We start from the raw sequence: 23,820 nt of genomic DNA, 5'->3' as shown, positions 1-23,820 counted from the left end.
AACAAAAGCTTCTTACTGTCTCTAGGAATTAGCTAACCCTGGGAGGGGCAGTCTCTTCCCCAGCCAACATGGCCGCGTAAAGATGTCAAAACGTCAGCCGGGCACGCTGGCTCACGCCTGTATTCCCAGCACTTTGGGAGGCCAAAGTGGGCAGATCATGAGGTCAGAAGATCGAGACCATCCTGGCCAACATGGTGAAACCCCATCTCTGCTAAAAATACAAAAATTAGCTGGGTGTGGTGGCGCGTGCCTATAATCCCAGCTACTTGGGAGGCTGAGGCAGGAGAATCGCTTGAACCTGGGAGGCAGATGTTGCGGTGATCTGGGATCACGCCACTGCACTCCAGCCTGGCAACAGAGTGAGATTCTGTCTCAAAAAAAAAAAAAAAAAAAAAAAAGTCCAAAAATAATAAAATGCAAAAAATATGATTGATACAGAGTGAGGGAAGAGACTAATTAATACGGAACTTCCTTTTGTGATAAAAAGAACTATGCAAGAGGGGCTGGGCACAGTGGCTCACGCCTGTATTCTCAACACTTTGGGAGGCTGAGGCAGGATTGCTTGAGCCCAGGAGTTTGAGACCAGCCTGGGCAACATGGTGAAACCCTGTCTTTACCAAAAAATACAAAAATTAGCTGGGTGCAGTAGCATGTGCCTATAGTCCCAGCTACTCAGGAGGCTGAGGTGGGGGAATAGCTTGAACCTGGGTAATAAAAATATATAAAAACTAGATAAAGATGGTGGTTACAAAGTCACAGTTTTACAGTGTGCAATTCAGTGGTGTTTAGTACATTCACATTAAAACAAAAATCTCATAAAGTTTCTTATTGCCTAAGGTTTAATGATGTTTGAGTAATCAATGATAATCAATGACTATTTTTAAATAAAATATCCATAACTTTGCTCAAAAATTCCAGACACAACAACTTTTGTATACGTATAGGGTGTTACTCTATGAAGAACAGAAGGCAGTAAGAGTATATTAAAGACAAGGAAGCTGCAGACACTGACAAATTTTAAAACGACGATAAAGAAAAATACGTATAAGCATGGGTCACACTAAGGGAGGAGTAGCCATGAGGAGAATAAAAATAGAACCTATAGTTTTCCAACCAACTGAAGAAATATAATATATCCATTAGAAGGCGAAATGAGAAAAAACGAGGAGAAAAAGCATAAAAAATAGAAAATATAGAATAAGACAGCAGAATTAAAAGCTATTATTATGTTAATCTTTCTTTTGCTTGTGTACTGCTATGGACTGACTGTGGCCCCCAAAATTCATATGTTGAAGCCCTAACCCTCAATGTGACTATAACTAGAGACAGGGCCTGCAGAAAGTCAATTAAGGTTAAATGAGCTCCTAAGGGTAGGGCCCTGATTGACAGGATTAGTGTTTTTATATGAAGAGATGCCAGACATGTGCATGCTCTCATGTGCACTCTCTCTCTCTGCCAGGTGAGTGCACTGCAAGAAGGTGGCCATCTGCAAGCCAGGAAGAGGGCCCTTGCCAGAAACTGAACTGCCTGGCGTCTTGATCTCGGACTTCCCAGCCTCCAGAACTGTGAGAAAATAAATGTCTTGTTTAAACCACCTAGTCTATGGTATTTTGCTACAGCAGCCCAAGCAGACTAATACACATACCTTCTAAAAGTATTTAGAAAACCTATGTATCTTGCATTTTTTTTTTTTTTGAGACACGGTCTCCTGCTGTTGCCCAGGCTGGAGTGCAATGGTGCAATCTCTGCTCACTGCAACCTCTGCCTCCTGGGTTCAAGAGATTCTCCTACCTCAGCCTCCCAAGTAGCTGGGGCTACAGGTGCACACCACCATGCCTGGCTAATTTTTGTATTTTTGGGTAGAGACAGGGTTTCACCATGTTGCCCAGGCTGGTCTTGACCTCCTGGGCTCAAGCAATCCTCCTGCCTTGGCCTCCCAAAGTACTGGGATTACAGGCATGAGACACCGTGCCTGGCCCCTCCTGCATATTTTTAAGGTGACATCTACAATTTTTCAAGGTAAATTTAAATGGTTGCGAAAAGATGTAATATTTAGAAACATTATATATGGCATGCATGCATTCAATATATTAAATTTATAAATGCAATTTAATATGTAAGTGTAAGCTCTTTCAGAATTTACAAAGAAGGTCTGACATAGAACATAATTGGCAAAGCCTGTCTGCTCTGTCAAACATTCAGGCGAATCAGATTTACTTTCTGTCAGAAAAAGTTTGACCTTATTTTCAACTCAAACATGCTATACACATCACAGTGAAAGCATAGCACTTCGGGATTCTTAGTTTTAAAACCAACTACCAGATAGGTAAGGCATGGGGATGCACCATGAGTTGGTAGCCTGGAAGAAAAAAGACCTGCCCTTCCGTTATTTTTTACAGAGACCTTCTTTGCTTTGCTTTTATGAGACTCTCCTTTAGGGCCAACGAGTTTTCAAACTATTTCTGTTTGGTCCACCGAGGTATTATGTCCTGAGGTAAGGTAAGGAAGATCGTAAAATGTGGAAGGGGTCAGTGATATGCCTTTCTTCTGTACAGTAAGAGGAGAAGCCATGAAAGCTGATGGGAGAAAGGAGCAGCAGCACACAGACACATTTCCTAACAGATCGACATTGGCCTGGAATATACACGGAAGTTAGAAACCAGGGAACTGGCTCCCTCGCCAATTTATCCCCAGGAAGTCTTTATGTACCCCCAGGAATAAACATGCCCCAGTTTGAAGACTGCTGTGCTAATGCAATAGTAATGACCATACCATAAACAAGTTACAATTACTGGCCAAGAGACAGGAATTGTTAGATTGAATAAAAAACAAGAACCAGAGGTACGCAGTCCACACAAGATAGCTAAAACCAATGAATGCTTCAAGACTGAAAATAAAGAAATGGAAAAGTTATAATGCTGTTATAAGTAAAAAGAAAATCAAGTTAGCAATTTTAATATCAGACAAATAGAATTTAAGAAGGAAAAGAGATTAAGAAACCAGAAGAATATTATACAGAAGTCACCTTCATCCATGGGGGGATATGTTCCAAGGCCCCCAGTGGATGCCTGGACCATGACAGTACTGAACCCTATGTATACATCATAAGCAAGAGTAGATCTGATAACTGAGACAGCTGCCAAGTGACTGACAAGCAGGTAGCGTGGACAGCATGGACAGGCTGGACAAACAGATGGTTCATGTCTAGTCAGGACGGAGCAGGACAGTGCAAGGTTTCATCATGCTACTCAGAATGGCCTACAATTTAAAATTTACAAATTATTTCTAGAATTTGCCATTGAATTTTTCTGGAACAAAGTTGACCTCAGGTAACTGAAACAGTGAAAAGCAAAACCGTGGATTAGGCAGGGGGAACTACTGTATGCTAGTAAAAATAATAAGGCTGGGTGCAGTGGTTCACACCTGTAATCCCAGAACTTTGGGAGGCTGAGGCGGGTGGATCACTTGAGGCAGGAGTTCGAGACCAGCCTGGGCAACACAGTAAGACCCCCATCTCTTAATTTTTTTTTTTTTTTAATTAGCTGGGCGTGCTGGTGTCTGCCTGTAGTCCTAGCTACTTAGGAGGCTGAGGCGGGAGGACTGCTTGAGCCTGGGAGGTTGAAGCTGCAGTGAGCTATGATCTTACTATTTCACTTCAGCCTGGGGGACAGAGTGAGACCCAATCTCAAAAAAAAAAAAAAATCATGAGCTCATACACAAGTAATATAGCATTATGGAGAGAAATAAACAATTGTGGCAAAGATTTTAAAAATATGAATTATTAAATATTTTTAAAAATACACAAATTTTTGGCCAGGCGCGGTGGCTCACACCTGTAATCCCAGCACTTTGGGAGGCTGAGGCGGGTGGATCACGAGGTCAGGAGATCGAGACCACGGTGAAACCCCGTCTCTACTAAAAATACAATAAATTAGCTGGGTGCGATGGCGGGCACCTGTACTCCCAGCTACTCGGAAGACTGAGGCAGGAGAATGGCGTGAACCCAGGAGGTGGAGTTGGCAGTGAGCCGAGATCGCGCCACTGCACTCCAGCCTGGGCGACAGAGTGAGACTGTCTAAAAAAAAATAAATAAATAAATAAATAAATGAAATACACAAATTTTTAAAAAAGCAAGGACACGTTAGCTCCCCATTGAGATACCTCCTGTTGACATTTCTTTTAAAGTTATATATGTTTAAAGACAGAAAACTCAAAGTACAAGGAAGATACATAAGGTTAATTAAAGCTCCTCTCCTTTCCCCGCTCCTTTCTTCCCCAAAGACAACCACTGTTAACACTGGAAAAAAATGTTTTTACGGGGTGGGAGTTGTTGGATTTACAATTCTTATTTATGGCAGTCCACTGTTGCTTCCTTTATATCTGTGTCCCCTTGAGCGAGGATCGACTAACGTAAATCCTGCTTTGTAAAGGGGCCAGAAAATGTGTGCAACTTAATGTCTCAGAAAGTGATGCAAACATGCCATAACATGGATGAACCTTGGGAACATTAGGCTACGTGAAAGAAGTCAGTCACAAAGGTCACATATTGTCTGATTCCATGTATACGATATAAAATCCAAAAGGGGCAAATCCATAGAGAAAAAAGTAGATTGGGGTTGCCTAGGGCTGGTGAGGAGAGGCTGGGGGAGACTGAGGACTGACTGCTAATGGGTAGAATCTACTTTTGGGGTGATAAAAATGTTCTAAAATTAATTGTGGTGATGGTTGCAAAACTCAGTGAATATACTAAAAACAACTGAGTTGTATACTTTCAAAGGGTGGATTTTATGGTATGTATATTATATCTCAATAAAGATATTGTTTAAAAATGCCCCAAATGCAGACTGAAAATATAAATGCTTCCAACTGGGTTATGAAGTAACAGGAGAATTTTGAGACTGTTGAAGAAAACCATCCCACATTCTGACTCACATCAGAAACAATACTCAGTATAAAGGACTGCATCCAGGGTGATAATTCTCAAGTTATTTCAGCTGTCCAGAGAGTACAATGACATAAAATGAAGCAAGGGCGCTGCTGACAAAAAAGGCCTCCCTAGAATACACAGTTGCAGTACATGTGCTCTTTGGCTTCCAGGCAATTCCTTGAACTTGAACTACACTCACACGCTTTGAGGCAAGCCTATGAACTTGACCTGAGAACTGTTTATTTCCCAAGCTATATGTTTCCAAACCTTCTGCTTCCTATCAATGATTTCCAATGGTTTTAAGGAACATTTAAAGAAAAATAGGACACATTAGCTAGATTTGGTTAATTACAAATCAAATAAATCCAAAGGAACATAATAATGCAAAACTACTTCACCACTTAAATTACTGGAGTTTTTGTTTCTCAGACCTTTTTGCTTGGTTTGGTTTTGCTTTTATTTCATTTCCATGAATGTAACACCTACATAGATTGGTGGTGTAACCACCACCACAATCAGAAGGCAGAAGAGTGCCATCACTCCCAAGCTCCCTCAGCTCTCCCTTTGTAGTCATATCCGCCCCCACCAATTCCCAGCAACCACTGATCTGTTCTCCATCTCAACAGTTTTGTCTTTAGGAAAATGTCATGTTAATAGAATCATACAACGTGTAACATTTTATGACTTAATAGGCCTCCTTTATTCAGTGTAATGCTTTGAGATTCATCCGAGCTGTTGTGTTAGTTAATAATTAGTGTTTTTTTTGTTTGTTTTTTTGCAGAGTAGTGTTCTGTTGTATGGACGTATTACAAGTTGTTTATCCATTTAATCAAAGGACATTTGGGCTGTTCACAGTTTTTGGCAATGGTCACGAACGTAAGCTTTCATTTCCATAGGCTGACTATGTAGGATTGCTGGGTTATATGTTAACTGTATGTAAAACTTTATAAGGAACTGCCAAACTGCTTTCCAGAGTAGCTGTGCCATTTTGTATTCCTTCTGGCAGTGTAGGAGAGTTGCTGCTCTGCACCCCCAAGGCACTGTCAGTATTTCATCTTAGTCACTCTAGTAAGTGCATATGATATCCTAATTTTAACCTACATTTCTCTAATGATTAATGATGTCATGCATCTTCTCTCGTGCTTATTTGCCATCTGTATATCCTCTTTGGTGAAGTGTCTGTCTTTTGCCCAGTTGAAAAAACTGGGTTACTTTCTTATAGTTAAGTTTTGAGAGTTCTTTATATATTCCAAAGACAAGCCCTTTGTATTTGTAAATATTTTCTCCAAGTCTGTCTCTCGTCTTTTCATTCTTATAAAAGTATCCTTCACAGAATAATAGTTTTTAATTCTGATGAAGTCAAAATTTATCTTTTTGATGAAATTTAATTTGATGAAGTCCAATTTATCCTTTTTCTTTTATGGATGGTGCTTTCGCTGTCATGTCTAAGAACCTCTTCCCTAAATCCCAGGTCATGAAGATTGTCTCAAGTTTTCTTCCACAAGTTTTATAGTTTTAGATTTTATATTCAGATTTATGAACCACTTTGAAGTAACTTTTGTATAACATGTGAGGATTAGGCCAAAATTCACTTCTTTTTGCATAAGGGTGTCCAATTGTTCCAGTACCATTTGCTGAAAAGGCTATACTTTCTCACTGAACGGACTTTTTACCTTTGTCAAACATCACTTGGCATTTTTGTCGGGACCTATTTCTGGACTTTCTACCCACGTGTCCAAGCTCTCTGTAGGGTAACTTGTAAAAACACCAGGCTAACTCACAATCTGAATAATGAACAGTGGTTGGGTACCTGGTTTATTCCGTGATATAGGTTGCAGAATGTGTAACCCAGGCTACACAAATGAAATATTTAGATCAGTTTTTGATATTACAATATAAGCAAGGCACTGCCAACCTGGAAGCATTCCTTGACGGCAACTAAGATAATAAGGCAAATAGAAATCATAACATCTGACAACTGGCTGAGGAAAGCAGGGCTGTCTGTCCCGGAGCAATGGAAAGAGAGTGTGAGCTCTGGCTCTGGACCTGTGCAACGGAGCTCAGTGGAAAGAACGGATCCTTCTGTGTGATCCCTAGGGAGACGATTCTGCCCAATGACTAGAACCAGGCTCTGTGCTTGGGTACAGGGAGTCCAGAGATAGATAGGCTATGCTTCCTGCTTTCAGAGGGGGAAGCTACAGGAAAACTATTTTGGTTTGCCATTGGCCATCTAGCCAATGGTAACTATAGCGCCCGTCTACTTTAGGTAAGAGACTGGATCAAAGGACTTGCAGGGCTCTGATTGTTTTCAGATTAAACCCAAGGACAGTTTCTGTCCTAGGTTTAACGGCTTCCTGAAGAAACTGGGGTCAGGTAAAAAAAAAAAAAAAAAAAAAAAAAAAGAGAGAGAGATCTGCCCAAGGTCTCAAAATATTGGCTGCAAAACTGAGTTTAGAAATCAACCCTCCTGCTGGGCGCGGTGGCTCACGCCTGTAATCCCAGCACTTTGGGAGGCCGAGGCGGGTGGATCATGAGGTCAGGAGATCAAGACCATCCTGGCTAACATGGTGAAACCCCATCTCTACTAAAAATACAAAAAAATTAGCTGGGCGTGGTGGCAGGCACCTGTAGTCCCAGCTACTTGGGAGGCTGAGGCAGGAGAATGGCGTGAACCCAGGAGGCGGAGGTTGCAGTGAGCCGAGGTCGCGCCACTGCACTCCAGCCTGGGCAACAGAGCAAGACTCTTCCTCAAAAAAAAAAAAAAAAAGAAAGAAAAAGAAAATCAACCCTCCTGACGTTTAGCCCAGGCCTCCATAATTTGTCAAAATTCTTTTTTTTTTTTTGGCGGCGCGGGGGAGGAAGGTCTCGCTCTGTCGCCCAGGCTGGAGTGCGCTGGCATCATCTTGGCTCACTGCAGCCTCTGCCTCCCAGGCTCAAGCAACCCTCCCACCTCAGACTCCCGAGTAGCTGGGATTACAGGCAAGCGCCAACACGTGCAGCTGATTTTTGTATTTTTTTTAGAGAGAGGGTTTCGCCATGTCAGCCAGGCTGGTGTTGAAATCGTGAGATCAAGTGATCTGCCCGCCTGGGCCTCCCAAAGTGTTGGGATTACAGGTGTGAGCCACCTCACCTGGTCTATTTGTCAAAATTCTTAGTCAACACTGTGTTTGCTAAAGAATAAATAACCCAATGCCTTCTTCAATGACCTAAGCCTCATATATACTCATTGTATGTGTGAGGCTGAGTATCCTTAATCCAAAAATCTGAAATTCAAAATACTTCAAAATTCAAAACTTTCTGAATGCCGACATGACACTCGAAGGAAATGCTCATTGGAGTATCTTGGATTTCCTTGTTAGGGATGCTGACTCAGTAAGTATAATGCACTGTCTCCCGAGTTTTTCTTATCATTTGGCTATCTCAGAGGCCTTTACAGAGAAAGGAATCCTACAATTTGAAATTTCAACACTTTTTTTCCAATGACAAAATGGGGGAAAATCAAATCAAACAGGTCTCTTCTGAAGATTTTATTTCTGCTCTGAGCTGTTCTGGGTGACCTACTGCTCTAATTAGGCTGGAAATAAACCTGGCTTTCATGAGATGCAGGACACGGCTGGAGGAAAAAGTTGTCAAGACTACTTACAATCATCAGTGCCCACAGGCCTCAGAGCATTCCAAGAATTCATTGATTCATTCCATAATTCATTCTGCCCATTAGGCACAAACACAGACACCCAGGGAGAACAAACACCACTGGCTGATTTAGCTTTACTGATCTGCCCAGGGCAGGACAGAGATTAAAAAAACAATAATGCTGTAGTTTATCAATAGCTCCTCAAATGGGTAGTGTGGTACAGCAGAAGTCAGCACAGCTGACAGTCCTAGCTCTACCTCTCTGAATGTGTGTTCATTGACAAAATGGAAGATTAATCCCGTCCTTTCAACTTGACTGAGTGCTGGCAGGGATCAAATGAGACTGAGGATATGAGAAGTGCTTTGCAAACTGAAAATCATTGTGACCTACACGAGAGAGTTCTTCACCTAACAAACATGTGTTGGGCGCCTATTACGTGACCTGCTCATGCTAAACACCACGGATAGGAAGTAAAACATAATGCAGTCCTGGCCCTCAAGAAGACACTCAGATATCTGATAAAGTGTGGCAGGTGCGATAACAAGGCAAGAGCAGGGGATGTGAGAGCACAGGAGGGCCCTTGGATTACTCTGGAAACTTAAAAAGATGACCAGGAAGAGGTGCCAGGAACAGAGGATTAAGGCAGGAGTAGGAGTTATGCACCAGCTTCCAGAAAACATCACACACTCTTTTAATACTCAAAACAATCCCACAAAGTGGGCACTATTTGTATCGTCACCCTTATTGTACTACAAAGCAGTGGCTCCCAACTGCAGACGGGAGTGAGGTGGCTGCCTTAACTACATCATCAGGCTTACCAACCCCTCTGGCAGCGTTCAACAACACACTAGCTGTAACTAGGTACTCCCTCCTTTTATTGTCTCTATGCCTAGCTTTTGCTCCAGTATTTATTTCTTTATTTATTTTTATAGGGTCTTGCTCTGTCATCCATGCTGGAGTACAGTGGTGCAATCACGGCTCACTGCACTGTCCCCAGTGGGAAAGTGGTATAAGGATGCCCCATGGTCTCCCCTCCAAGCTCCCACCAAAGTGAGCCTGCTTCAACCCTTACATCCAAGCTATACTGGGGAGCTCACTGCTGAAACACTCCATGCTGTTTCTCACTGTCCATTCAGGCAGCGAGGACCACCCCTGCTTAGGTTACTTCCAGCTGATGTGTGGAGATGGTTTAGGCTTGGTCTTCTCCAAGAACCCTGGGCCTGGGAATTAGATACCCACACATACCCCAGGTCTGCCTGTGGCACTCCTTGGATCACATTGTAATTACAATGGTCTATTTCCAGGTCTGTCTTTATGCTGTGAGCTCTCAGAGGACAAGTATCAGTCCTTACCCGTCTTCCCCAGTGCCCGGCAGACTGAAAGTGTTCAAATTATGTTTGCTCTCCTATAGCCTTTGGTTGAAGTCTTCTTGCCAGTTTTAATATGTAATTCTGGATTAAGGGTTTATTGTTCTCGTTGTTATTGTATGTATATGTAAGCCAAAATCTCTGTATAAGAAATACTGTGTGTTGTGAAAGTTAAAATATTAAAAAAATATAGGGACTATCTCCCTTCCCATCTTAGCTTCCTCCCAAGGCAACTACTGTCATGAGTTTCTTGTATACTATTTCACAACTATGCTACGCAGGTTCACACATGTTGTGAATCCCCCAACCCCCTTTTGCTTCACAATGGGTGCACACTGTAATACTATTATAAACCATTATAGAAAGAGGATGTGATCGATAATTTTAGATGTCAACTTGACCGGATTAAGGAATACCTAGAGAGCAGGTAAAGTGTTATTTCTGGGTGTGCCTCTGAGGGTGTTTCCAGACTGGCATTAAGAGTTGGTGGACTGAGTAGGGAAGACCTACCCTCAATGTGGGCGGGTCTATCGTAGGACTTTACAACCTCCATAATCACGACTCAATACCTCTAATAAGTCCTCCCTTGTATATCTATACATATACAACTGGGGGCCCAGATACAACAAAAGGGAAGAAACACTTTGGGAAGCTGAGGTGGGAAGATCGCTTGAGCCCAGGAGTTCTAGACCAGTATGGGCAACACAGCAAGACTCTATCTTTACAAAAAAATTTAAAAATTAGCCAGGCATGGTGGCATGCATCTGTAGTCCCAGCTACTTGGGAGGCTGAGGTGGGAGGATTGCTTGAGCCCAGGAGCATGAGGCTACAGTGTGCCATGATTGTGCCACTGTACTCCAGCCTAGGCAACAGAGTGAGACCCTGTCTCTAAAAGAAAAAAAAAAAAAAAAAAAGGCAGAGGAAAGGTGAATTCCCTCTCTCTTCTGGAGCTGGGACACTTCTTCTCCTGCCCCTGGGACATCAGAACTCCAGGCTCTCCAGCCTTTGGGCTCCAGGACTTGCCTGAGCACCTCACCCCACCCCACCCCCACCCTGGGCTCACAGGCCTTTGGACTTGGATTGAGCCACAATACTTGCTTCCCTGGGTCTCCAGCGTGCAGACGGTCTATCGTAGGACTTTACAACCTCCATAATCATGACTCAATACCTCTAATAAGTCCTCCCTTGTATATCTATACATATACATATACACACACACACACACATATATATACACACACACATATATATATACACACACACATATATATATACACACACACACATACATATATATATATCTATCTCCTATTGGTACTCCCTGGAGAATCCTGATTAATACAGAGGGGTTCCTAACCTGAGGTGCTCAGATGGATTTCAGTGATCTATAAAACCCTAAAAATTTTATGCCATGTTGTTCCATGGTGAACAGGTCTATGTGAACCTACCCACAAAGGTTGATGGAGCTGATATGCTGAAAAAAGAGGTTGACAAATCCAGTTTTTCAGAAGGAAAAATTTAATAAGGACTCACAAACAGAAGCCATATCTCAGGTGGCCTTGAGACAGTCGATCCCCACACTGTTATCCACCAGACTCAGGGCTTATATACCTCAGAAAACTTGACTAAGGGCAGGGTTTATGGTAAGTATGTATTTACAATAACATCAATGCTGGTGAGTATATAAAAGTAGAAATCTCAGAGGCATTCCCGGAACTGGGGTCAATCAGAATTCAACATGGCAGATTAGCATCCCAAATGGAGTGGCTTTAGCCTCCACAAACGTTGTAGCTTAAGCATATTATACTTTTTCAGGAGAATGTGCTAATAACTACCATTAATTCCTCAAAGTAACTCCTGGTCTCCAAAAAGAAATCTTCCTACCAAAAAAAGCATATGAACTGGCCCTGGGCACAGTGAATGCTACTGAAGCACCCTCACGGCATGCTCACCCTGGCCAGAGGTCGCTGGGCCCAGGGCCCAGAGATGGGGGAGTTTAAGGAGGCAGCGTCTCCACTGTGCGCTTGTCAGTAACAGAGAAATGAGGAGCAATTTAGAGAGTATTTTGAAACTTCCTGTATCAATGCAAATCTAATACAGAGCAAAGAATATCACGTAAGTCTGGAAATTCTATTTGGCCTGGCACTTTTAAACCCATTTGCTAAATGCAACAATGTAACCGAGATTCTCTGTCTTAGTTACTTTCTGTCTCAGTTCATCAGGGCTCTAGACATCCAATTTGGTAGCCTTTGGTAGCCTCAAGCCATGTGTGACTACCGAGCACTTGAAATGTGGCCGGTCCAAATTGAGAAGTGATGTTAGGGTAAAATACAGCCCAAATTTCAAAGACTTAGTACAAAAATGTAATGTAATATAGTTAATTAATAATTTTCATATTACCATAGTAACACTGTTGAAATTATATTATGGATACAGTAGTTTAAACACATATATTTTTTAAATTAATATGATCCATTCTTTTTACTTTAGTTCATATGGTTATTAAATATTTAAAATTCCACATGCAGCTCCCATTTGTGGCTTGAGTTGTTTTTACTGGGCAGTGTGGCTTCAGAGATCAGTGCACAACTATTCACTATTCTCTGTTCTCCAATTAATTGATTCCCACCTTAGAAATGTTTTCTTCTAGAAATCAAAAGTAAAGCTTTCAGATAGGGTTTTCTAGTCGGGTATTACTATTGGCACACAAATAAAAAACAGTTCACCAAAAAATACCTGGAAAAATATACTAAAACTGACACATTCATTTATGGGGTCTAAGTCCATGGTGAAATCCATTTGGCAATACCCAACTGAAAATATCTTTGAAGTCTGGGATGTATTTTGCACTGATATCACTTCTCAGTTTCAGAAGGATATAAGTCTAATAATAATCTCTTAAAAGACATTTACTGAGCACCTACTGTGTGTTGGGGTCTTCACATTTATTACAATCATTTCCACTTTAAATATGAGAAATCTGAAGCTCAGAGAGTGGCTCCAGGCCATTTGACTAGCAAGCGGCATAGACCTAGGTCTTGGCCACAGGAAATTGCCCCATCCCTCCTTCTGCCCACATTCTGCCTTCTTTTATATTTGCACCACAGGACAGTTCACGTTCTTTCTGATACATTGTATCATTTAATTATCTAAACTATGCTGTGAAGTAAACAGGGATGTTACAATTACTGTATTAAAAGGAGGCATCCAAGCCCACCTCACATCTCATGGCTTGTAACAGGAGAGCATAATCTTACACCTAGGAGTTCTGGGAAAAAAAGTTCAATATCTTTTCCTTTCCATGCTGCCAATCATAACTTCCTCCTTTTAAAACTGACTGCCTTCCTAGGTTTGGAGTTAAAAGGAATGGGGGAAGAGGAACACTTATTGTTAACAATAACCATATTGTATCAACAATGCCACTGTTTCTAAGTACACATTTCTGCATATTATGTATTAATATATTATTAATATAACATCACTGTGAATTTATAGTGTTGACTGACCCGGAATTGGGGTCAATCAGAATTCAACATGGCAGATTAGCATCTCAAATGGAGTGTCTTTAGCCTCCACAAACGTTGTAGCTTAAGCATATTATGCTTTTTCAGGGGGAATGTGCTAATAACTACCATTAATTTCTCAAAGTAACTTTATGTTATTACATCCTCTATTTCATTTGCTCTTCCATGCCCACATTTATTATTCTTATTTCAAAGAGGATGAAACTGCAGCATACAACAGCTAAGTGATTTATGAAAGCTCTCAGAGCTACTTACAGACCAAAAACACAGGCAATAAAGGTCATGAAGAGTTAAATGGAGACACGGAGACATACTGAGGCAAAACCTCTCCTCCTGGTCTCACATCCCAGGGAAGGTGCCTCACTATTCAATATATAAACCCTTTGGTGCAGACTGGGGAGATAAAAGCAAAGGAAAGGAAGACCTCCTTTCTCAGGTTGAACTGCGTTTGCTGACTAGCAGTCAGGCTCCGTTCTGTCCTGCCCAGATGGCTGCTTTCTGAGGGGCAGACGAGCAGCCACACTCTACCTTCTCTCTGCTCCCATGCTAAAAGGAAAAACATGGGGAAACAATGACAAAAAGAACTAATCCAAGTCCAGAGAACGTGTAGCTTGAATGTAGACTAGACGGGAGGCTAATCTGAGCTGAGGAGAGGATACAGGGCGAGGGGAAGAGCTACATGGTAGATTGTGAACAAGGAAGAGTTCACAAGAGAAAAAATACAGTAATGTTAAAAATGCATAAAGAAAGGAGGAGAGAGAAAAAAGCGGAACAAAAGGAGCTGGTAAAAATCTGTAGTAAGGGCAGCAAAGTGCTAGTAACAGGATCACTGTGCATTGAGCCGTTTGCTAAGGCTGTCCAAGTGCCACAAGCAAACACAAAGGGACAGAAGCCACAAAGATCAACAGCTCATGGGGGCTGGGCACAGTGGCTCATGCCTGTAGGCCCAGCACTTTGAGAAGTCAAGGCAGGAGGATCCCTTGAGCCCGGGAGTTTGAGATCAGCCTGGGCAACACAGCAAGACTCCATCTCTGCAAAAAAGTTAAAAAATTAGCCCAGTGTGGTGGTGTGCACTTGTGGTCCCAGCCTCTCAGGAGGCTGAGGTGAGAGGATCACTTGAACCCAGGAGGTCGTGACACCCATGATCGCGTCACTGCATTCCAACCTCGGTAACAGAGCGAGACCCTGTCTCTATTAAAAACAAAAAGCAGCTCATGGGGTCAGCCACACCACCCAGACACACAAGCCAGAGAGAACAGAGTGGGTGAAGATATAGACCAATTCCAGGCTAGGAAACTACTTACCATCCCCTACTGTACAGAGAACTTCACTGTTGTTGTTTATTTAGAAATTTCTTAAATGTGGTTTATTCAACACTTCAGTAACTCTAGTTATTTTACCCATATTATGTGTCCAAATTATTCATGTGACTTAAAGTTTTGCTTTAAAAGCTTCTAACAACTGGGTGCAGTGGCTCACGCCTGTAATCCCAGCACTTTGGGAGGCTGAGGTGGGTGGATCACTTGAGATCAGGACTTTGAGACCAGCCTGACCGACATGGCAAAACCCTGTCTCTACCAAAAATACAAAAATTAGCCAGGTGTGGTGGTGCATGCTTGTAATCCCAGCTACTTGGGAGGCTGAGGCAGGAGAATCACTTGAATCTGGGAGGCGGAAGTTGCAGTGAGCCAAAATTGTGCCACTGCACTCCAGCATGGGGAACAAGAGTGCAACTCCGTCTCAAATAAATAAATAAATGGCCTCTAACAAGGATTGTTTTAACTAGAAAATAACTGAACTTCATAAAGTGAGAAAAGCTGAAATCATGGGGTATTCATATGAGGAATCCTATTTTTAAAATATTTGTCTCCCACAGGGTCTCTGTCCCCAAGGTTTAACTTTGAAAAGCTCAAATGTTCTTACCTGTCCTTTTTCCCTTCAGTTCTTATACTTATTTGGTGACTTGGTTAATGACTCTATTTTCTGAAATCTGAGAAGCCAGTCCTGGGCCCTATGGGTCATGGCTGCAGAAGGAAACACAGTCCCCACTCTTGAGGAATTCATCTGCTTTTGGGAGAGGCAGGATATATTCAAGAGAACTAAAAAAGTTGGAAAAGTAACCAATAACCCAAACTGTATCCCTAGTTTCTGATCTTTGTGAGTACAAAGTTATATTCTTTCTTTACAGCAACACACACACACACACACACACACACACACACACCCCAGGGCACAGCACACAGGGTACTAAGTGGTACCTAAGACCATCTCTGACAGCTACCCACCCAAGCTGTGGCCTCTGCCAAGAGTTGAGGGATATCAGTGAAGTTCTAGCATTATTCTGTTTAAGCTTTTTATTATGAGCAGTTAATAATTTTTCAATTAATAAAACTAGCTTATTAAAAATAAAGAAGTTTAATGGCACAAAGGGACAAGTGAAATGCAAATGGGACCCAGACTTGTTCCGCTTGTTAAGACAGTATCCTGATTTGGGACTAAGAGCCCTGGCTGTCCAGACCACGTGGGCTTCAAAACCGAGAGGAGGCAGTGGTGGGCAACCTTGTCCGCCATCTGAGTCCATCGCTTCTGCTCTTTGATATGGCAAGTCAGAATTAAATATTCTGAAGGCCCAACAGAGCTGGGAAGTTTGTCCAGACAAGAGCATGATAAGATCAGTTTGTTTAAAACCTGCTGTGGATTTATTTGCTTTGTCCATGCTTAGCAATTCTGTCCACTTGCCACAACTTCTTCAGATTTTAATTTCCTTCTTTTCCTCTTAATTCTATAGACATGGCCAACGTGGTGCTTTATTAAATCTACAGAGCTGGTTGCCAGGCACTTCCTTCTGCTGCCTGCAGCTCTCCGTCTACAGTATCCTACCCAGGATGATTTCAGCTTTCCTTAGTCTACACTTTCCCCTCACTGAAAAGCAGCAGAATGGGAATCCACAGAGCTAGTTCCAGTCCTGTTGCTAACTAACCTGGTGATCACAACCAAGCTCTGACCCTGTCTAGGTGTGTTTCCTCCTCTGTAATTTCTAACTTGCTGAAAGTGGTGTTAATGAAATGACATATTGTTAATACAGTTCTCGGCCCTCAATAGTTGAATAAATAAATGGAAGCTATCCCATTTGTATCCCTAATGTCTAGCTCTGAATGAATGAAAGAAAATAACTATATATTGCCTGGGACATAGTGGCTGTTTCGGAAATATTACTTCTCTTTCCCTTACCCACTGGAAATACCTCAAGGGAACTGGCCATGTCTGCTCTGGGGAAGCGAAAGGTAAATACCATGTCCAAAAGAGGGACTCACAGAGATCTGAACAAGGGGATACCTAAGGAACTTTTTTGGTTCTAATATTCTATATTTTATTTGTACATTTAGCAAACACTGCTGAAGACTTGAAACACATGCTGGACACCAGCCAAGCCTGGAATTAATGTCACGTGCTCCTTCCACAGTGCATCATCTAGAAGGCAGGGACTGACAAATCCAGTTAACAAAAGGGCATGAGAAGTACAGAAACAGAAGTAGGTGCAAGAGTATTTTCAGAGTATATGAGAAGGAAGATTAACTCTACCTGGGGGAATGAAAGAGGAAAAGGTAAGCCTTGAACACTGAGCAGAAGGCCCCTGTTAGAAAGGCTTTCCTGGAAGTGATTCCTTTAATCAATGTCATGTAGCTTTCTATCTGGATGCTACACCTTGGAGAAATTAGACTAGACAGTGATTGTCTCTCCAGAGCCTTTTATTCCAGGCTCTTCAACGGACTGCCCTTCAGATGTGGTCTTGAGTCCCCTCACCTTCTTCTTCTTTCTTTCTTTTGAAAGAAAAACCTATCTTAGTTAGCTCAGGCTGCCATAACAAAATACCACAGACTGGGCAGCTTAACAGCAGCAATGTATTTTCTCACAGTTTTGGAAGCCCAAGAGGAAGGTGTTGGCAGGTTTGCCTTCTCTGGAGGCCTCTCTCCTTGGCTTGTGGACAGCCACCTTCTCACTGTGTCCTTAGAGGGCCTTTCCTCTGAGCATGAGCATCCCTCATGTCTTCACCTCCTCTCACAGTCCTATTGGACTAGGGGCCACTCTTAAGACCTAATTTAACCTTAATTACATCCTTAAAGGCCCTATCTCTGAATAAAGTCACACTGAGGTCAGGGGCTTCAACCAGTGAGTTGTGGGAGACATAATTTAGTCCGTAACAGTGCCCTAGAGTGCCACGGTCCTCTGTTAAACACCTAGACAGAAGATAACACTGCAGCTGTGGTCTGACAATTTTGAAGATGACTGGGATGGTCATCTCCTTTGGAGGTAAAATGATACACATTTTAGTCTGCTTTTTTATTTTTCTTGCAGTTTTGCATTATTCAGGATTTTTTAAGCTGCAAGTAACAGACATGAACAATGAAATTTGTTGTTTATATACTGCAAAACAAAAAAAAAGGTTTATGGGTAAGCCTGGCTTAAGTTAAATACCTGAGTGCACATGGTCAAGGCTGCCATGAGAACTTGCTCTCTTGTCATTACTGAACTCTACTTCCCTTTCTCTTGGCTTATTAGTCTTCCCCACATGATGGGAAATAATGATTTGAAGCTTTCATGATCTTGACAGCTCTTGATCCCAGAAAAAAGAAACCAAACAGTATCTTTTATAATAGTTCTAGCTCAAGTCCCATAGAGCAGCGGTCCCCAACTTTTTTTGGCAGTAGGGACCAGTTTCAAGGAAGGCAATTTTTCCATGGACTGGGGTGGGATCGGGGGATGGTTTTGGGACAAAACTGTCCCACCTCAGATCATCAGGCATTTGATTCTCATAAGAAGAGCACAGCCTGGCTCCTTTGCATGCACAGTTCACAGTAGGGTTTCTGGTCCTATGACAATCTAATGCCACTGCCGATCTGACAGGAGGCAGAGCTCAGGCAGTAATGCTCACCACTGCTCACCTCCTGCTGTGTGGAATGGTTCCTAACAGGCCACGAACTGGTACTGGTCCTCAGCCTGAGGGGTTGGGGACCCCTGCCATAGAGAATTCTTAGATGACAAAACTGCCCCTAAACCAGTCACCATAGCCAGGGGATTGAGTCTTGGTCTGGCCAGGTCTGGGTCATGTGCTGCCCCCTAGGTGAGGTGGGGGATTAGACCCACATAAACTACATGACAGGTAGTTAGGTCAGATTACTGTTGAATAGAAAATGCTAGCTCCCTTCTACCCAACTAACCAGTTGCTGGCAAAACACGTATCTTTCTAGAAATAATAATGTGATCCTAGCAGACAAATAGGTGTGCTAAAAATGACCTGAATGTCTTTTCTTTTAAATTTCTCAATCTTTGTGCAATGTCTTACCTATTGGAACAATCTCAAACTGATACTTGTTTCTTTGGCCAGGTGCTAGAAAACAAATGTCTCAAAGAGGGTAAATGACGCACCTGTACATCTCAGCGCTCTCCCCATCAGTGAAAACCACACTGGTATGCAAAACGGCAGCACATTTCTCTTCCTGACAATTCTTAATAAATTAGAGCTAGACTTTATCATAGAAACAGTAAGAGTAACTACATCAATAGGGTGGTACATTAGAAATTCCTATTAAAAAAAAAAAAGAGAAAACAGATGGCCCCATCTGAGGGAGTGAGCAGCATATAAAAAGAAAAAAAAACACATACACTGTTGAATGAAATTACCATCTTGGAACTATGCAAAACATTTGTTGTTGCCAAAAAAAACACATAATAAACTGCCTTAACAGTCCAAACCAGGGTACAATACAGTGAATGAAGGAAACATAGGTTCTGATTTTCTAATTGAGTGACTTCATTTTAACTCCAAAAATACAAAAACCAGCAAAAACACAATTTAGAAAGAAAATTTGAGGAATAATGTCTCATTTTAAAAGTTTTTCAGTTGTAACATACCAGTTACAGAACCCAGAGACACAGAAGGCAAACTTCATTCATTCCTCCAACTGTTAATTGTTCTAGTAGCTGGTAGTTGCTGTGCTACATACTAGGACAGAAATAAACTTGGTAAACAACAATTTCAAAAACAACTTCAAGCTTTACTGTTTACTAAGCATTTTTGCATATATAATCATACTTTTCCTCACAACTACCACATTTCACAGATAAGGGAGACTCAAAACGAATATATAATTTGCCCAGAATAACACAATAATTACCAATAAGAGGAGGAGCCTGAGCTCACATCCAAATGGGACTTCTAATCTTATACTCTTTTATCTTACGCATTTTTTTTTTAAAGAGTTGGGGTCTCACTCTGTCACCCAGGCTGGAATGCAATGGCATGCTCATTGTTTACTGTAGCCTCGAATTTCTGGGCTCACATGATCTTTTTTGCCTCAGCCTCCTGATTAGCTGGGCCCACAAGCATGTACCACCATGCCCGGTTAATTTTTTTTTTTTGGTAGAGACAGGGTCTTGCTCTGGTCTCAAACTCCTTGCCTCAAGTGATCCTCCCACTTCAACCTTCCAAAGTGTTGGGATTCATTTTGACCTAAAGATTTTCTTCTTCCTTACTCTTCTAATTGCCAGGTCCAGATTCTCCTTCCACTATGGCAAGCAGTGTTTTCTAGAATGTAAACTCAAAATTAAGTGTTATGTTTAATATGTGGGAAACTCAGGGGGCAAAATCAACATTCCCCTTCCCATAAGACTTCTCAGACCCTTCATGCTACTATGTACTGTCTTTTTCGGGGCAGGGGTGATTATAATTTTTCTTTTCTTTTTCTTTTTTTTTTTTTTTTGAGACAGATTCTAGCTCTGTTGCCCAGGCTAGAGTGCAGTGGCGTGATTTCAGCTCATTGCAACCTCCACTCTTGGTTTCAAGCAATTCTCATGCCTCGGCCTCCTGAGTAGCTGGGATTATAGGCACCCATCACCACGCCTGTTTTTTTTTGTTTTTTGTTTGTATTTTTAGTAGAGACGGGGTTTTGCCATGTTGCCCAGGCTGGTCTTGAACTCCTGACCTCAGGTGATCCGCCCACCTCGGCCTCCTGAAGTTCTGGGATTACAGACATGAGCCACCATGCCCGGCCTACAGTTCTTCTTAAACTGACCACAGGACTTCTTGTTTTTGTTTTGTTTTTCCCACGAAGTCTTGTGTATGACTAAAACAGCAGTCAAAACACAGGTTCCAGAGTCTGATGGTCTTGGGTTCAAATGCCAGCTCTGTGTGATGCTGGATAAGTTTTTAAACCAGCATATGACTCACTTTCTTCATCTGTAAAATGGACATGACAACAAGAGCAGCTATCTCATAGGGCTCTTATAAGGCTACAAGTACATATGCTTATGCATATAAAGTACTTAGCAGGTTACACTGATCATAGTCAAGTTCAGTAAGTGTGAGAGAGCCACTTATTCAATAAAACATTATATAAAACAAACATTGCTAGAATACCCAACAGGTTTTCCTTGTTTTACAAAATTAGGGTAGAAAGCAGCTATGGAATGATGAAAACAAATGTTGACTTTTTAGTTAGAAGATACAGATCCAAATCCTAGCTTTGCCACTTAAGCAGTGTGACTTTGAGGAGGTGATTTAACCTCTCTGAATCTTAGGAGCCTCTTAGGTAAAATGGTAATAATAATGTAACCACCTGCCTCTAGAATCTGCTTTTGACTGGTGTTCATAGGATTACTGTGAAAATTAGATGTGATAACAAAAGTGCCCACAGTACAGCAGGCACATTTGAAAGTGTGTTACCTTGTTTGTATAGGAATCTAGAAGAATCAGAAGTGCTTAATTTATATATGTAAGGACTTTTAAAACTTCACATGGGTTTTTACTAACTCAAACCCTTTTGTCAATCCCTACAGCTTTGAAAATCTACCATTCGGCCCTTTTAGTCTTTCCGGCTGATCTTTCCCATCCACAAACAGATGTTGCTCACTGGATTCAGCACTTCCATCAAAATCCCCAAAAGCCTTCATGCTTAGAAATGAACAGACATCAAAAAGGCAGCAACTGTCCTCTTTACTGCCATTTCCTCTTCTAGGGCCTGTGACATGACAAGGATAATGCAGGAGGTTAAAAAAAAAAAGGTAATAAAAATGAATAAACAAAGAGTGCTGAGAAGCCAACATGTGTCCAGCTCTGCTCAACTGTGACAGATGCCTTCAAGTAACCCTCAATCTAGTTAAGAGGATAAGATAGAGGAAATTAAATATCAGATTGTTTATTATATACCTTAAGTGTTATAGGAGAGTTCAGAAAAAAGAGAAATTTTGTGGGCTGTAGAGGTCAGAAAAGGCTTCCTGAAGAAATACTGCATGCACAGGGCTGGGTTTTAGAGGATTTCATGGAAAGAAAAAAAGGTTTGGAAATGGGGAAGCAAAGTGGTGAGTGCAGATCCAGACTAAATCATTTTTTTGGAGCGGAAGGAGCCAAGCTTCAAGAGACCGCAGCCAGACCATGGAGGGCTCCACCTGTAGAAAACAATGAAAAGCCGTCCTGGCAATGGACAGAATTTTATATCCACAAAGTACTGGGATACCATCCTCTCATCCCACCTTTCTATGAAGCAAGCTGTGTTTAAGCATTCGGTCATGGGTAGGGATGAATTGATTAGTATTTTGTTCATACCAGGGATCTGATAATCATGAATGCCCCAACCAAGCAGCCCAGGACAACAAACAAGAATTTTATCAACTGTAGCAAAACGTGTCAACCTTCTCTTCCTTAGGAATCTCTATTCCTTCACTCCCCAAAAAGGTGGAGAATAAAAGTACACAATCTTCATTCTGTGGCTTTGGAAGTGCTCCAAGGTACATTTGATTTGCATGCATCCTCTCTCCAGGAAAAGGAATTTCATCACTGAGTGCACTTCTTAAATCACAGAATGTTTCATTGCCCTGCTCATAAAAATACATCCAACCACCACTTTTATCCATCTCTTTTATCACCTCTCTTAGGAAGCCTCTATCTTGACTTGATACACAGTTGTCTGATCTAGCAGATACAGTGAAAAATGAATAAGAGTGGTAACTTCCGAAAAACTAGGCAGGGGAGCCCTGCGAGGGGGCGCTCATCTTCCTTGCTCCTGGTTCTCTTCCTTGGTGTCTCTGGTATGCAGTCTGTGCACATGGGACCCAGAGTTGATTTTCAAAAAGGAAAGAGCTCCAAGTGTTCCTGTTTCTCCCAGGGCCACACAACAAGTGAAAGTAAATCGTCTTTTCTCTCTTCTAGCACTCGTGCTGATGAAGATGGGGGGCAGAGTAGTCACAAAGAATGCAGTGTGAGTCAACCCTGGCATCTGGAAGGATCTGAACTGGCTGACTGGAGTGAAAAGAATTCTTCATGTCTGTAAATTATTACGAAATGCCCTGAAGAGCCCAGTGACTAGTCACTGAGTATCAAACCCAGGAAAGACCACGAACCAGCATAAGTTCTAGATCAAACATTGTAGTCTGTACAAGCCACACTTCTAACACATCTAGGTTCAATCTGCCTTCAGAGGTGCCAGTGGAATTCAAAAGCATGTTATAGCACTTTTCATTTTCCAGTGCTCTTGATTATGAAAGCTCACACATGGCCATTCTCCTCTCTGAACATCTCTGCAAATAAAATATTATTCCTATTTTATCCCAATGAAGTTATGTGACTTACATAAACTAACGCAGCATCATTAGAACCTAGGGTTTCCAGGTTCCCAAGCTCAGGTTCTTCCCGTGAACTCCAACGAGGTGTGTACATCAGAATCATCAGTGGAACTTTAAACAGTGCACATGTCTGGGTTTCACCTGCACATATTTGGACTTAAGAGGTTTGAGGAGTGGCCTGGGCACCTGTCTTTAGATTGCAATGGGCCTTCCCAGTTGAGAAACATTACATAGATTTCCCAAGTTGAAAGTCACTCTTGAAAGCTCTTTAGTTGATTCTCTTGCTGTCCAGGAGAACCACCCCAGAATGTATCACATCATAGCTACAATTGTTGGAAGGGTGCTCTTCACTGAGTTCTCACTTGTAATTCACTCTTCCCTACACGGAAGAGACCTCATACGTCATAGTTGTCCCGTGTAGTCCTAGTTAGTTCAACAGACACTTACTGATCACACTAGGCTCCAAGGATAATGAAATAGGACACGGAGAAACGTACAACAATGAATAATGCAATGGGCTGTGGCCTGAGTACAGAAGCACTGCAGACTCAGAGAACCAGGGGTCACTTGGTGGTGGGCTCTGGTTGTATTATCACAGTTAGCCAGAAAACACTGTAGTCCCAGTTTGTCAACTGCAAGGAACTTATTAATCTCTCAGACCAGGGAATTTGCATGCAAACCAAGCCAAGATCCAAGCTCTCAGCTGATTAGTCACACCATGTTTCGTTCACTGTGTCATAAACATTTCAG

At 41.9% G+C, this 23,820-nt stretch overlaps 1 protein-coding gene and 1 long non-coding RNA gene across 7 annotated transcripts in view; one reads left to right on the top strand and one right to left on the bottom strand.

The window, feature by feature from the left end:
• The window catches only part of LOC124903379 (uncharacterized), a 32,650-nt gene extending 9,597 nt beyond the window's left edge, over positions 1–23,053 (top strand). The window contains exon 2 of the long non-coding RNA XR_007064329.1: positions 1,460–23,053. This is a non-coding gene — a long non-coding RNA (uncharacterized LOC124903379). The remainder of the gene's footprint in view (positions 1–1,459) is intronic.
• Positions 1–23,820, bottom strand: part of EVL (Enah/Vasp-like) — a 172,815-nt gene that overhangs the window by 89,789 nt on the left and 59,206 nt on the right. The gene's annotated exons all lie outside the window — the stretch shown is intronic.

This window comes from Homo sapiens, chromosome 14 (genome assembly GCF_000001405.40).
Source record: "Homo sapiens chromosome 14, GRCh38.p14 Primary Assembly".
Classification (NCBI taxonomy): Eukaryota; Metazoa; Chordata; class Mammalia; order Primates; family Hominidae; genus Homo; species Homo sapiens.
This window is presented reverse-complemented; position numbering and strand designations above follow the sequence as displayed.